The sequence below is a fragment of the Homo sapiens genome, chromosome 5, assembly GCF_000001405.40.
Source record: "Homo sapiens chromosome 5, GRCh38.p14 Primary Assembly".
NCBI lineage: Eukaryota > Metazoa > Chordata > Mammalia > Primates > Hominidae > Homo > Homo sapiens.
This window is the reverse complement of record NC_000005.10, coordinates 119492766-119507740: the sequence shown is the minus strand read 5'-3', so window position 1 is coordinate 119507740 and position 14975 is coordinate 119492766. Positions and strand designations below refer to the sequence as shown.

General features: G+C 35.3%; 1 protein-coding gene across 14 annotated transcripts in view; it reads right to left on the bottom strand.

Annotated features, from left to right (window-relative positions):
- The window catches only part of HSD17B4 (hydroxysteroid 17-beta dehydrogenase 4), an 89836-nt gene that overhangs the window by 34592 nt on the left and 40269 nt on the right, over nucleotides 1-14975 (bottom strand). For 11 of the 14 annotated variants that reach the window (NM_001374503.1, NM_001199291.3, NM_001374499.1 and 8 more), the window contains 5 exons: nucleotides 13795-13923; nucleotides 11095-11198; nucleotides 8188-8424; nucleotides 5649-5700; nucleotides 852-923 (listed from right to left, as the gene is read on the bottom strand). In NM_001374503.1, the coding sequence (NP_001361432.1) occupies nucleotides 852-923; nucleotides 5649-5700; nucleotides 8188-8424; nucleotides 11095-11198; nucleotides 13795-13923 (594 nt within the window). Of the gene's footprint in view, nucleotides 1-851; nucleotides 924-5648; nucleotides 5701-8187; nucleotides 8425-11094; nucleotides 11199-11927; nucleotides 12026-13794; nucleotides 13942-14975 lie in introns of all 14 variants that reach the window. The other 3 variants (NR_164654.1, NR_164653.1, NM_001374498.1) reach the window with 3 other exon arrangements.

Here is a 14975-nt window from a genome sequence, read left to right as displayed (position 1 = left end):
ACAATCTCAGCTCACTGCATGCTCTGCCTCCAGGGTTCACGCCATTCTCCTGCCTCAGCCTCCCAAGTAGCCGGGACTACAGGCGCCCGCCACCATGCCCGGCTTTTTTTTTTGTATTTTAAGTAGAGACGGGGTTTCACCGTGTTAGCCAGGATGATCTCGATCTCCTGACCTCATGATCCGCCCGCCTCAGCCTCCCAAAGTGCTAGGATTACAGGCGTGAGCCACCGCACCCAGCGTAAAATTTACAAATTTTAAGCATCATATCTTCACCTTATGTTTAATTACTAGTATTTCAACATTTATTAAACTACTACAATCTTTTTTCCCACTGCAAATAAAATGTGGCTGTGGTGTTTAAACCACATCATAAGTTCAAGTCTAGAAACTTATAAAAGCACAAGTCTAGGAGCCTAACTACCACTTATAAGAATAATTTAGTGTTCAAATATGTTCCAAGTTCCAAATAGCTAACACATTAAAGAATACCTAAAACACAGCCTAATTGTCAAGTGAGGACTATCTAATATTCCTTCCTGCCAAAAACATACTCCAGCAAGCTTAATTCTCCTCTACATTATCAATACAAGCCACATTTATCACCTTTGTGCTTTGGTTATGTTGTCTTAAATCCAATGAAATGCCTCACCCTTCCCAGCCTAAGCCCAGAAATAAATGCTTCTCCCCCTCCTTCTTTATTTTTCTTAAAGAGTTTAAAAATGCTTATCTTGTTTTCTAACAAATTGGAAGACAAATACTAACTTATTAATCAACTTCTATGGTGAAGTATTATGTCATACACAAAGCCTATCAATCTAACAATATTATTATAAGAATTGTAAATAAATTACCATCCATAATAATCACTACACCGGATCCTTTATCTAGGACATCAGCAACAACTGCTTCACATTTTAATTTTCCTAGAAAGAAAAGTAAAAGAAATACAGTGTCTTAAAAACCAAAGATTACTATAATAAGATGTGAAAGAATTTAATAGCATTTCCACTGTAAGCTCAGCAAAACTAAAAAACTATGGTTTGAAATAGTGTTCCTGAACAACAGATGCTGCAGAGGATGTGGAGAAATAAGAACGCTTTTACACTGTTGGTGGGAGTGTAAATTAGTTCAACCACTGTGGAAGACAGTGTGGCGATTCCTCAAGGATCTAGAACTAGAAATACCATTTGACCCAGCAATCCCATTACTGGGTATGTACCCAAAGGATTATAAATCATTCTACTACAAAGACACATGCACACGTATATTTATTGTGGCACTATTCACAATAGCAAAGGCTTGGAACCAACCCAAATGTCCATCAATAATAGACTGGATAAAGAAAATGTGGCACATATACACCATGGAATACTATGCAGCCATAAAAAAGGATGAGTTCATGTCCTTTGCAGGGACATGGATGAAGCTGGAAACCATCATTCTCAGCAAACTATCACAAGATCAGAAAATCAAACAACGCACGTTCTCACTCATAAGTGGGAGTTGAACAACGAGAACACATGGACACAGGGAGGGGAACATCACACACCGGGGCCTGTCAAGGTGTGCAGGACAAGGGGAGGGATAACATTAGGAGAAATACCTAATATAGGTGACGGGTTGATGTGTGCAGCAAACCACCATGGCACGTGTATACCTATGTAACAAAACTGCACATTGTGCACATGTACCCCAGAACTTAAAGTATAATAAAAAATAATAATAATGTTCCTGAACTCACTAGAAAAAATAATTCAACAGTAAAAGCAGTCAGAATACCGGAATCGCTAAATTTCAAACATCAATATTTGATACATTAGATTTTTTTAAATAACCATTGGCAATGTCAAGGACTCCTCTTGGTGTCTTTTGACCCTGTTATTCAACAAACATTTGTTGAGCATACAACCAATACTGTTTACCCCATTCTTTCTTAAATTTCTACTCCTATTCAACACAATACTGCAACTCCTACCCAGAGCAATCTGGCAATAAAAAAAAAAAAATGTTAAGACATCCAAACAGGAAAAGAAGTCAAATTATCTCTCTTCACCAATGATATCATTCTATACCTAGAGAACACTAAAGACTCCATCTACCAAAAGGCTCCTAGAACTGATAATGAGTCAAGTAAAAGTTTCAGGATACAAAATCAATGAACAAAAAAGAGTAGCATTTCCATACACCAACAATATTCAAGCTGAGAGCCAAATTAAGAATGCAATCTCATTTACAATAGCACAAAAAAATAAAATATCTAGGAATACATCTAATCAAGGTGGTGTAAGGTCTCTACAAGGAGAACTATAAAACACTGCTGAAAGAAATCAGATAACACAAACAAATGGAAAAAACATTCCATACTCATGGGTTGGAAGAATCAATATTGTTAAAATGGTCGTACTACTCAAAGCAATCTGCAGATTCAATGCTGTTCCTATGAAACCACCAATGTCATTTTTTACAGAATTAGAAAAAACTATTCTAAAACTCATATGGTACCAGAAAGAGCCAGAATAGTCAAAGCAATCCCAAGTAAAAAAAAAAAACAAAGCTGGAAGTATCATATTAACTGACTTGAAACTATACTATAAAACTACAGTAACCAAAACAGCATGGCACTGGTACAAGAAAAGACCAATGGAAAAGAACAGAGAACCCAGAAGTAAACCCACACACCTACAACCATCTGATCTTTGACAAAGTTGACAAATATAGGGAATGGGGAAAGGACTCCCTATTCAATAAACGGTGCTGAGATAACTGGCTAGCCATATGCAGAAAAATGAAACTAGACTCCCACCTTTCATCATATACAAAAATTAACTCAAGATGGATTAAATATTTAGATGTAAGACCTCAAAGTATTAAAATTCTAGAATAAAACATAGGAAATACCATCCTGGACATCAGCCTTAGGAAATAATTTATGGCTAAGTCCTCAAAAGCAATTACGATCAAAACAAAGATTAACAAGTAGGACCTAATTAAACTATGAACAGAGTAAACAGACAACCTAAAGAATGGGAGAAAATATTCTCACACTATGTATCCAATAGAGGTCTAATGTCTAGAATCTATGAGGAACGTAGTTCAACAAGCAAAAAACAAATAATCCCATTAAGAAATGGGCAAAGGACATAACAGACACTTCTCAAAAGAAGACACACAAGTGGCCAACAAACATAAAAAAAATGCTTCATAACACTAATCATCAGAGAAATGCAAATCAAAACCACAATGAGATACCATGTCACATCAGTCAGAATGGCTATTACTAAAAAGTCAAAAAAATAACAGATGCTGGTGAGGCTGCAGATAAAACAGAACATTTATACACTGTTGGAGGGAATGTAAATTAGTACAGCTACCATGAAAAGCAGTCTGGAGATTTCTCAAAGAACTTAAAACAGAACTACCATTTGACCCAGCAATCTCATTACTGGATATATACCCAAAGGAAAAGAAATCATTCCACCAAAAAGACATATGCACTCATATGCTCACTGCAGCACTATTCACAATAGCAAAGACATGGAATCAATCTAGGTGCCCATCAATGGTGAAATGGATAAAGAAAATGTGGTACATATATACCATGGAATACTACGCAGCCATGAAAAAGAACAAAATCATGTGCTCCGCAGCAACATGGATACAGTTGGACGTCATTATCCTAAGTGAATTAATGCAGGAACAAAAAACCAAATACTGTGTGTTTTCACTTACAAGTGGGAGCTGAACTCTGGGTACACGTGGACATAAAGATGGGAACAACAGACAATGGGGACTACTAGAGTAGGGAGAGCAAGAACTGAAAAACTACCTATTGGGTACTATGCTCACTACCTGAGTGATGGGATCATTCATATCCCAAAGTTTAGCATCACACAATACACCCACGTAATAAATCTGCACAGGTACCTCCTGAATCTAAAATAAAAGTTAAAATTCTTTTTTAAAATAATAAAGTTTATATAAAACCAAAAAAAAAAAACAGACAGAAAAGAAAGTACTGCTGCGTTCCTTCACTCCTTCTAGTGGTTATTTTTAACATGATTAGGGTAAGTCAGCCTATGACACTACCACTATAGCCAACAAATGAGCCATTAAGAGATGTTGTTATCAGTCTCCTGATGCTTGACACTCTGTGTCTCATCAATTGGTGTGTTTTATAAACAGTAGTAGATTATAAACAGTAGTCGTGACCTTGGTTTTCTGCAGTTTAAAAGGTTCCAAACCACAAATATCTCATATTTTGAACATTCACATTTACTACACAGTAAATTTTAAAACTGCTTAAAGAAAATGCACAGGCTGAGAAAAAATAATTCATGAGAAATATAACTTGAGGCTAAGGAGGTAAAAAAAAATGAAAAAGTTATTCTCTACACCTTCCTATTCACATCACTGTTCAGTTATCATCACTCTGGAGTATACATCTAATCTCTCTTTTCGTATTTTAAAATCCCTAACGGCAGAAACCTATCTTGCACATTTCTACTTCCCTTATAACAATGGTTTCCAAGTGGACCCATAGGGCTGGGTACATATGAAACATGTAAGGAGCTTCCTAGCCACTGTCACCAACACCACCACCCCACCACATACATACATGCACACATACACACACACACACACACACACACACACACACACACACAATTTCCAAGGTTGGGATTGAGAATCTACATTTTACTTAAATTAACAGATAATATAATGTAATAACTCGGGTGATTTTGATATACAGACAGGTTAGAAAATTACCTACTACCTAATACTGTGCCTTGCAAATACTGGGTATCCAGCAGATATTTGATCAATGCACAATCACCACAAAGTGTACTGTTTCACATAAAAAGAGCTGTTTTGAAACCTTATGCTATAATACTTACACTGAAATAAAGCTATTCAGCTTCAAGCAATAAAAATCTCATACATTTTTTAGAAAAATAAAAAGGTTTAAGAAAAATATTCAAGTAGGATTCTAGCTACTTGCCGACCTCTACATTGTATAACATGAAATGACAAATATTAACAAAACATTCCTTTTTGTATTCTACCACCTTATATGACCAGTATATAATTAGACAACATTCAAACATCAAAGTAGAGAAATAAATATATCCAATTATAGTGAAAAAAATTAAAAGAGATTTACTAAACAAGTAAGATATTTTTGAGAAAAGTAAAAATGATTATTAAAGACTTGTTTTTATTTTCTCCAAAAAAAAAGAAAAAAATGAATTACAAGAAATTCTGTATCTTTTAACATTGTTTGCTTTATGAAAATCAGTATAAAGATAAATACCTGAGAAAAGAACAATAATCATAAGAACCATAACAGATTATATGCAATCACTAAGTCTAGAGCACATACACGAACGTTCCTTTCAGTTGTTAATAACACATACATCAACAGAGATAAATTATGAAATAAATTTTTAAGACTATTAAAGGACAAAGCTTAAGGTGACCAAAACAGATACTAGTTAACATCAGTCTACTCTAATGGCTCACATGTGCATAACAATTTGTGATATGTTTCATTAGGTCACTCTATACCAGTTTAACACACTGATGTTGTTTAAAAGGTTAATCTGGAAATAAAAGTATGGTATTATGGAATTAGTATATCAATAACTCACCTGCTCTGGGAAGTGGTTTATATAACTCTAAGTACTGCTCTCCATGAAGAACCTATGTTAGGGTAAACAAAATTTTATTAGCAAACTTTCTTGCTCCACAGGTTCTGCCTATGGATACTGTTACTCGCAAGTGACATTTTACCATCCACAGGCTCACATTTCTCTCCAAGTTATCTATCTCTGTTTGGCTTCTTCTTAATCATGTGATTGAAAAATAATCAATCCCCCAATCTCAAGACAGTCAGCTCTTCTGGAGCAGAGAAGATATATTTGTGTTCTTTCTTGGCGTTCATAAAGCCTTGTTGACTGTTAATTACATATTATTTGCCAAGAGACAATAAACTAGGCTGTATTCCCAGAACTTATAACAGTGCCTGGAACATATTGGGCATCCAATAAATATTCATTGAATAAGAATGAACAAATGCGCCAGTGCTAGTAATTTCAGGTCACATATACCAAATACAAACGACACAACTAAAACACAAAGAAAAACCTTACAACCATGTTCAAAATGAAAGCACTGTCAATGTGAATATCCCTTTCTTATAATACTTTGTAAATTATCTACAAAGAGTAGATACTAAGGACACTGTGTAACTTAATAGCCACTTAACCTCAATGTATCAAACAAAGAATGCACCAAGGTATATAGGAAAACAACAGGACAGGAAAACCAAAACTTGAAGCATACACTCAAATGATCCCACTTTCACTGCAGAGGGCCAGTTTACCAGTCTTCCTCAGAACCCAAAAGGATTTTAAAAAAAAAAAAAAAGGAAGAAGAAGAAGGGGAGGTGGTTGATGAGAAGACAAATGAAGGTCAGCTTTACTGTGTCATACGGCTTGAAAAAGTCAAGGTTAAGAAGACTAGGATTCAAGTTCCAAGATGCATGAACACCATTTACGATTTCCAATTGTTAGGGGGAATTTTGAAACATTTGTTTTAATTTTTTGCATTTACATTGTTCAGAGTATATAGTAACTAACCATGGGAGTGTGAATGAAACAGCAAACTGCCCAGCACATATTTCTTGTCTTCCTCCCAACTTCATGAAACACTCTAATAAAATAAGTGGCCATCAACTCAGAGCAGCAATGGGCTAACTGATCCACCAGTAAATAAGTTCTCCAATCAGTCAAAGTTACAGATACCAGCTCATAGCCCCATGATTCAAAAATTATTACCAGGCTCATAACCTGAATCTTACTCCAAGAAATAAAATATACCCTGTCTCAAAGAACTTCTCACCACTGTTCCCTCCTCCTTCTTGACACACTTCATTCATTTGGCTTCTCAAATACCCTATTCTCATGATACTCCTCATACCTCACCAACCATTCCTGTGCAGTCTCTTTTTGCTAGTTCCTCTGTATCTCTTTACCCTCTCAACATTTCAGGGCCTCTAAACTCAGGCCTCTTCTCTACTTACTCTCACACATTAGGTGACTTCATCTAATCTCCAGTATTTAAACATCACGTAAATGCTAAGGACCCAGTTAGACCCCTCCCTGAACTCTAGACTCATATATTCAACTGTCCATCTTATATTTCCACTTAAATGTGTAACAGACACCTCAAACATATTTAAAACCAACTCCTGATCAACCCCACCTTAAAATAAATGTGTATGTATAAATTATACATAATGCCATATGTAATTACTATACATATTAAATACACTATACATAATTATACATTACATATAGATATGTGTAATGTATAACTATATACAATGTATAACTATATACAATGTATATATATGCACCCATCTCTCTCTCTATATATATATACATATCCCAATTATCCAGAACAAACATCTTCATCCTTGACTCCTCTTTTCTAACCCTCATATGCAGCACTTTTACTTGGATTACTATAATAGACTCTTAAGTGGTTTCTCTGCTTTCATGCTTGACTCCCTTATAACCTAGTCTCCAAAAGCAACAAGCTTGTACCAGTCTGTGAACATAGCCAGATCATGTCACTACTCAGCTCAGATCAACAAATGGCTTCACATGTTCATCAAAGTATATGCTGAAATCTTTACAATTACTCCATGACCTTCTCCTACCATTGCCCCCTTGCTCACTCTACAGCTATGCTGGCCCTATTACTGTTCCAAAAACAAGTCAAGTATGTGCTATTTGCTTTAAATACTCCTCCCTGGCTTGCTTCTTCACCAATGTCATGAGGTGAGGATTATCATATCCATTTTATAGATAAGGAAACTGAAGCCTAGAGATGTTATTTACCCTTGGTCAAGAATCAAGTAAATGGCAGAGAGAGAATAACATTATGCCAGGGTTATGGGACTACACATACTTGTTATTTTCTTCTTTTTGCTGGCATTTTGAACTAACTCTCCCCTCTTTTATTCTTAAAAAGAAAAATCAAAAGATATGCTAAACTAACCACTATAAATAATTATATAAATATATATACACACACTACACACACATATATATAAGATATGACATTAATGAATAATATTTACAGAAATAGAAAAGCAAAATAAAGGTTTTTTATTAGGCATACCTTTGCAAAGTTGATTGAAAGTCCAGGAATTTCTGCTAATCCTCCACCCATCATAGATTTCTGACCTATGATAACTCCGAAGGTGGGCAAACAGGAGAAATCAGAACTTCCTTCATAAATAAATTTCAAATCTTTTGGATCCTTGATTGACGCTCCCACTCCAAGGGCATACATAATAGCTTCCAGTTCCGTATAAGCATAAGAAAATGGAGGGAGTTTCTGGCCAATAGCTCCAGCCTAAGAACAGTTTTAAAAAGTAATTTATTTCATTGATAACTTTTCAAAACTATTAACTTCTTACATACCTAGTTTTGTTTTTGAATAGATGTGACTAGAATGTTAGTGAATTTGATGGAGCATAATTATTGCAATTATATTTTATTTTTTAATAGAAACTAATTAGGTAATGTGTAGAAAAGGACTTCATTTACAGTTAAGAAGTTTTTTATTGCTTGCTTCTTGCTAACAGACAGTATGCCTCATACTCAACTTTCCTGTCTCTAATTCAGCAACTATTAGCTACCCAAAAATCCAAAAAATAATGAATTTGTTATTAAGGATAGTAAATTGCTTGTAAGATCTAATGTATAAAGTTCACTGTAAACAGATGAGTAAAACACTGCTTAATGGATGTAAATTTGATTGCCTCATAATGGTTTCTGTTTGTTTGTTTTGAGATGGAGTCTCGCTCTCTCGCCCAAGCTGGAGTGCAGTGGCATGATCTTGGCTCACTGCAACCTCTGCCTCTCAGGTTCATGCAATTCTCCTGCCTCAGCTTCCCGAGTAGCTGGGACTACAGGCCCGTGCCACCATGCCTGGCTAATTTTTTTTTATATTTTCAGTAGAGACAGGGTTTCACCATGTTGGCCAGGATGGTCTGGAACTCCTGACCTCGTGATCCACCCACCTCGGCCTCCCAAAGTGCTGGGATTACAGGCGTGAGCCACTGCGCCCAGTCCCTCATAATGTTAAGTAAAATAAAATTAACTTGAATTTCCTTCCCAGGAATATCCTTTGTCTAACTGGATGTTGTCTTTTTCTACTTAGTGATAATATGCGTAGCTAATAAGTGAAGTACATATAAAAGAATAATGTCCAATTTTTCAATCATTTTTATTCTAAAGTAGAAGTTGGCAAACAAGGACTAAGAGCTAAAATGGTTTATACAGGTTGATTAAAAATAAGAAAAAGAGAAAGAATATGTACTAGAATAGAAGCACTATGTAGCCCACAGAGCCTAAAATATTTACTATATGGCCCTTCATCAAAAAGGTTTGCCAACCCTTATTTTGAGGAAAAATCACATTTCTATACTGACCACATTCTCAGGCTTAAAATTAGAATTTTAATTTTCTTTATCACAATGCCTACCATAGGTTACAAAACAACAGAATCTAATATGGCATATGATTTACTTCTTCCTATTTATCCAGTACAGTTTTTTTAAGAAAGAATACAAACAGGAACAGTAAATAGGCAAATTTCACATGAGCTATCACAATTGTTCTCGAATTTCTGACTCAATGGGAAGCATTTTACTTGCAGCCATGTTGAAATAGTTCTAAAATACAATATCGATGCTTCCCTTAAAAGAAACGGACCCAAAAGAGCACTAAACTAGATATCCTTTTCTAAAGAGTCAGAAAATGTTACTAAAGTAGGATTACTGATGGTCAAGAAAAAAAAATGATACTTGTCATACAGTTAGATACAGAAATCTAATGGTACTGAAAAAGAAAAAGCAAAAGTTTAATATCTGAGCTTATGTTCAAATTCTATCAATATTTAGTACATATTTTATACAGTTTTATCATCACTCATTTAGCAATAAATAGCTTAGAAAATAATTTTTTTGTATGTGAAAAAAGTTTCAAAATTATTTACATTTCAAACAAAATTTTGCTGATTATAGGCACTTCACTTTCAACATAGAGGTTTAAAGCCTTATGGGCATTAGGTAAAGGGGTAAAAAACACAACAAAGAACCTGGGAGCATATAACCTCCAGAAGTCATGGTGTCATAGTCTCCCCTCCCAAATACAAATTCCCACACAACTCAAATCTACTTAAAGTCAATTTAAAGCTATCCTTAAAGAGATAAAGAACTATGAACGGGTAGAATGAGAACTGTATATGGAAGACAGACAGTCCAGGCAGGCATACATATCTGGACTAGATATCAGTTTAGCCACAGTTCATTTTATCAACAGTTGAGGTACTACTCCCTTTTTTCCTCTTCCATTCAGTACCTCCCTGAGTCAATTTCCAAACAGCATTGCAGGGGGTAAAAATGAGGTTGGCTAAAGCACCACTCAGGCAGCTAACCTGATTCATCACACCCCCCAATGGAGCCTACCAAAAATTATATGCAAGTAAGGAGTATCCCTCTAAAAAGTTCATGATAAGCTTTCAGCAGCTCTGTTTCCAACCAGGAGAAGAAGCTGAGTGGGTTACCTCCATTCTCCAAGCCCCACTCGGCTACTAGGCAAAACCTTGGAAACTGATACCCAATCGCTCTGATCTCCTTTCCCATTAGGGAAAAGAAATGCAGGGTACAGTCCAGAGAAATCTAAGAGAGGGAAAAGGAGAAACTAAAAAGACAAATAAAGTACTCTGGACAGTGTTAGAATTCATCCTGAGCCATCTCTTCATGTGGCTCAACTGTCCTGAATACTCTGTATGTTGAAATCAGGCTGTATGTTATAAAGTCAATCATAAACGATTCCTGAATAAATCCTCTATTTTAAATTATCTCTGCCACTGCTTCTCTCCATTATTAGAGACTGAAAGAAAGTAACTGCATCCAAAAGAAAAGAGAAAGAAGTAGGGGAGGAAGAAAGCAGGGAGGGAAGAAGGGAGGGAAAGTCTCCAGAGAAGGCAAACGCTTTAGGCTTTTTTCCCACTTACAAATCCTGATGTTGCTGTAGACGTTGCACGACTAGTATGATTTGCTGAAACTCCTCCTTCTGAATCTATTTTACTCAGAACTTCAATTATACTGCCAGTTGATTCTAAAATGAAAAATGAAAAACAAAAAAAATAAAGCTTTGTTAAAGATGTGACTAAGAAAAGCTACAATATGCTACATAATTATTCCTATAACATTCAGCAAACCTGCTACAGAGCCTCCATTGCCACTCATGAACTGAATGTATGTCAGGCTATTGAAGGAAAAAATTGCGAAAGACTGAAATAGGCCAAAAATAAATGGACATCTTCAATGAAATACAAGACATTGTCTAGCATATCCTTCCCTGGTTATCTGATTCTAAGGCGGCACTGGGCTTTCCAATGTCTTTAAGCTATTTTACAACCTTTAAAGTGAAATACTTGTCTATAGACATGCAATTTGTCTGATGGAGAGATCACTGATTCCTCCTCTCAACTGATTTCCATTCTTCCCAGGATGAAAGAATGCCAAGATTACCTCCTCACCCCTACTCCCAGTTCTTTGTACAAGTAATAGCTCTGAAGATAGTACCAAAAATTCTTCCAGAGAAAATCATCATCATAACCAATGACTCCAGACAGGGATCAAAAGCTGCTTTTCTGCAGGTCTAAAAGGTTAATAAAGGAGGCTCATGGGGCATCCACATCTCCATAAGATATTCTGAAGGCCCTGGGACCTTTCTCACAAACCTTAGAGACATGGGCTTCCTTCTGAACTCAGACAAAACCATAACCAAAAATTTTTAATTTTTGTAAAAATACAAAAATTAGCCAGGCGTGGGGGCACACACCTGTAATCCCAGCTACTTGGGAGGCTGAGGTGGGAGAATCGCTTGAACCCAAGGGGCAGAGGTTGTAGTGAGCTGAGATCATGCCACCATACTCCAGCCTGGGAGACAGAACAAGACTCTGTCTTAAAAATAAATAAATAAATAACCAAATTACAGAGTCTGAGAAGACCAGAGATATCTGCCATTCCTGATGACACCAGTAGAGAGGTTTCTTGCCTATTAATCTTCTCCCTACCATCCCATTCATATTGCTATCTAGAGGGAAGACTATTTAGTTGAAAGCCACCTCCTTCCAGAAATAGACAACATGAATTACTTCTTGGCTCAAACACTGGCTAGTTTAGGTTTTCCTGGGATTTAGTTCCATCATCTGTAAAATAAAAACAGTAGAAGAGATGCTCTGGAAAGTCAATTCTTATCGAAAAGATCATTTTTTAAAAATTGTGCTTCAAATAGAGGTATCTTTTCACTTACAATTAGTTATAATAATTCAATTAGATAGCTTTTTAATAAGTTTAACACTTTTGAGGCAGAAATACTTTTTGAGATAAATATCAGAGGAAAGTTTTTCCTATACTTTTCTTTCATTTGTTTTCATGGATAAGTGACTGTTATTCATAGAATAAATTTCTCAAATGTCTAAATATAAAATACAAAAATGTTAACCATTTATGACATAACAATCATGTTATCATCTGATTGAGAATAAGCATAATGAAAATTTCAGTGAGTATTCCAGTAGGTAGGAAAGTATCATTAAGGAGAAAAAAAAAACCGAATAGTCATTTTTCAAATATATTCTTCTATCAAACTTTAAATATTACATTACTATGAGAAAAAAAAGTTTTTCTACAAAATGACCCTGACTCATGATCTTTTCAGAAAAATACTTCAAATTTCATATATTACATGTATATGTGAGTTATACTAGAAAAAAATAATCTGACTTTTATTTGGTTATCTATTTCTGTGGTATGTAACAGGAGATTAAATAATTCAAGTTAATAAGCAATTATTAAGTCCCTTCTATGAGTTCAGCACTATGCTAACACCAAATATATACAAGAAGTACAAACAAGATACAGTCTCTGCCTCAAAGGAACTTACCAGGCAATTAAGAAACCATACATTCATGAAACAAAAGAAGTGGAGAACAGTTAAAATTAGATGCTCAAGTGGTAGGAGCTCAGCTAACAGAAAGATCAATATACCCTAGAATATCTGGGCGGTTTTGTTGAACATCTGGGGCTTGAGTTTTTCTAAAGAAGCATTAAGATTAGCAGAGGAGATCAAAGGTAGAAGAACTATGTTAGAAAAGCAAAGAAACAGTAGCAAAGACAAAGTGCTAAAACAAAGCCACATTTATGCACTAAACAGAAAAGAGCTAAGCCTAAATAATAAAAAGGCTTAAATAATCTTTTTGAGAAAGAAAGAAAGAAAGAAAGAAAGAAAGAAAGAAAGAAAGAAAGAAAGAAAGAAAGAAAGAAAAGAAAGAAAGAAAGGAAGAAAGAGAAAAATATGGTAAGATTGGGAGCATATAGGTAGGTAATGGAAGACTTTGAAACCAACCATCAGTGAGGATGTAAGTGCATTCAGCACAAATGAGTAAACATCTTATGCCATCCATCCCCCAATCACACATAAACCCAAAAAACAGGATTATAATAAAGCTGAAAAACTGACAGTGAGAATAACATAAATATCTTAAATGTGAAGAATTCTAATACCTACTAGAGCAGAAAATATGCTATAGACGATTCAAGTGTCTTAACACTACAGTTAACATAGAAGACAACTACATAAGAGAAGAAAATGCTTGCTGCCTCTGATTCCCCAACCAGGGCTAAGTGACGGGGACTCTCTTTACCTTGGATACTCTGAGGCTTGCTGGCATTCTCAAAGTCACAGATCTTCTTCCAGTTAGCCTTGACTGCCTCAGGAGTCATTGGGTGATTCTTTTGTCTTACAATAGCTCCAAGAGTCCGCTCCCAGCGTACTGGTTATAGAAACAAAACTAACATACTGAGCACATAGTTGAGAGACAGAAAGTAAGATGCATAAGAACCCTTTCATTTTTAAAGAGAAAGGAAATTCAGAAAAAAAGGGATTCTAACTCCTAAAGAGTTTTACCATAAGCCTTAAAATGAATTTTTCCCAACAAACCCACTAGGATAAGGTCAATTTAAAGAAACATTTGAAGCTGAAGGGAAAAATTTCTCCTCTGACTATGCCAGACAGTACTAAAGGTAGAATGTTATGCTGTATGTGAAAAAGTTTAATTATATAATAATCACATCAAAAGACTGACTTCATGACCACAGATCCCCAAAGTAATATACTTCATTCTTCTTGTTTATAAAATGAAGATAACTGAATAGAGCTTCGCTGAGTTAGCAAACTGAAGACTAATAGTAAATAATAGGTCAAAGACTTCAGTTAACAAAAATTTAGTGTAACAGGTGGCCCCAAATAATTCTCCCTTACCTTCTCTTTGCTCTACCTCTATTTCCACAAGAAGTCAGTTAGAATGCACAGATTCATAAAAACCATTACTGCTGCATAAGGAGAATTTTTAACATTGTTTTCTTTTTAAAAACCAGAGGTATAAACAACTACTAATAACCTTATTTAAACATAATAGTCAGACACTGATGATTGTTAAACTGAAGATTTGTCTTTGGGAATGACAGAAATGCCTGTGTCTAGAGCTTTCCTATTGATAAAGTGCCAGATATAGCTTTTACTGCAAAACCTTATGTTCCTTTTTTAAATGAATGCAATAAGACACTCAAAAATGCTTCAAGAATATAAGCCACTTTAACAATTAGAGAAAATGACCATTAATTCTAAAAATATTATACTACTACAGCAATGCCCTCCAGAGATAGCAACCTTTTAACTGATTCAGTTAATTGGATTAATTTTGATACCCATAGCCAACTAAATATAAGCTGAGACACAGAAATTTTCACAATTTTTTTAATGCCATAAAGCAATTCTCAAATTTGGAGTTCACAAGGTTTGAGAGATGGGGTAGGAGAGGGTTGA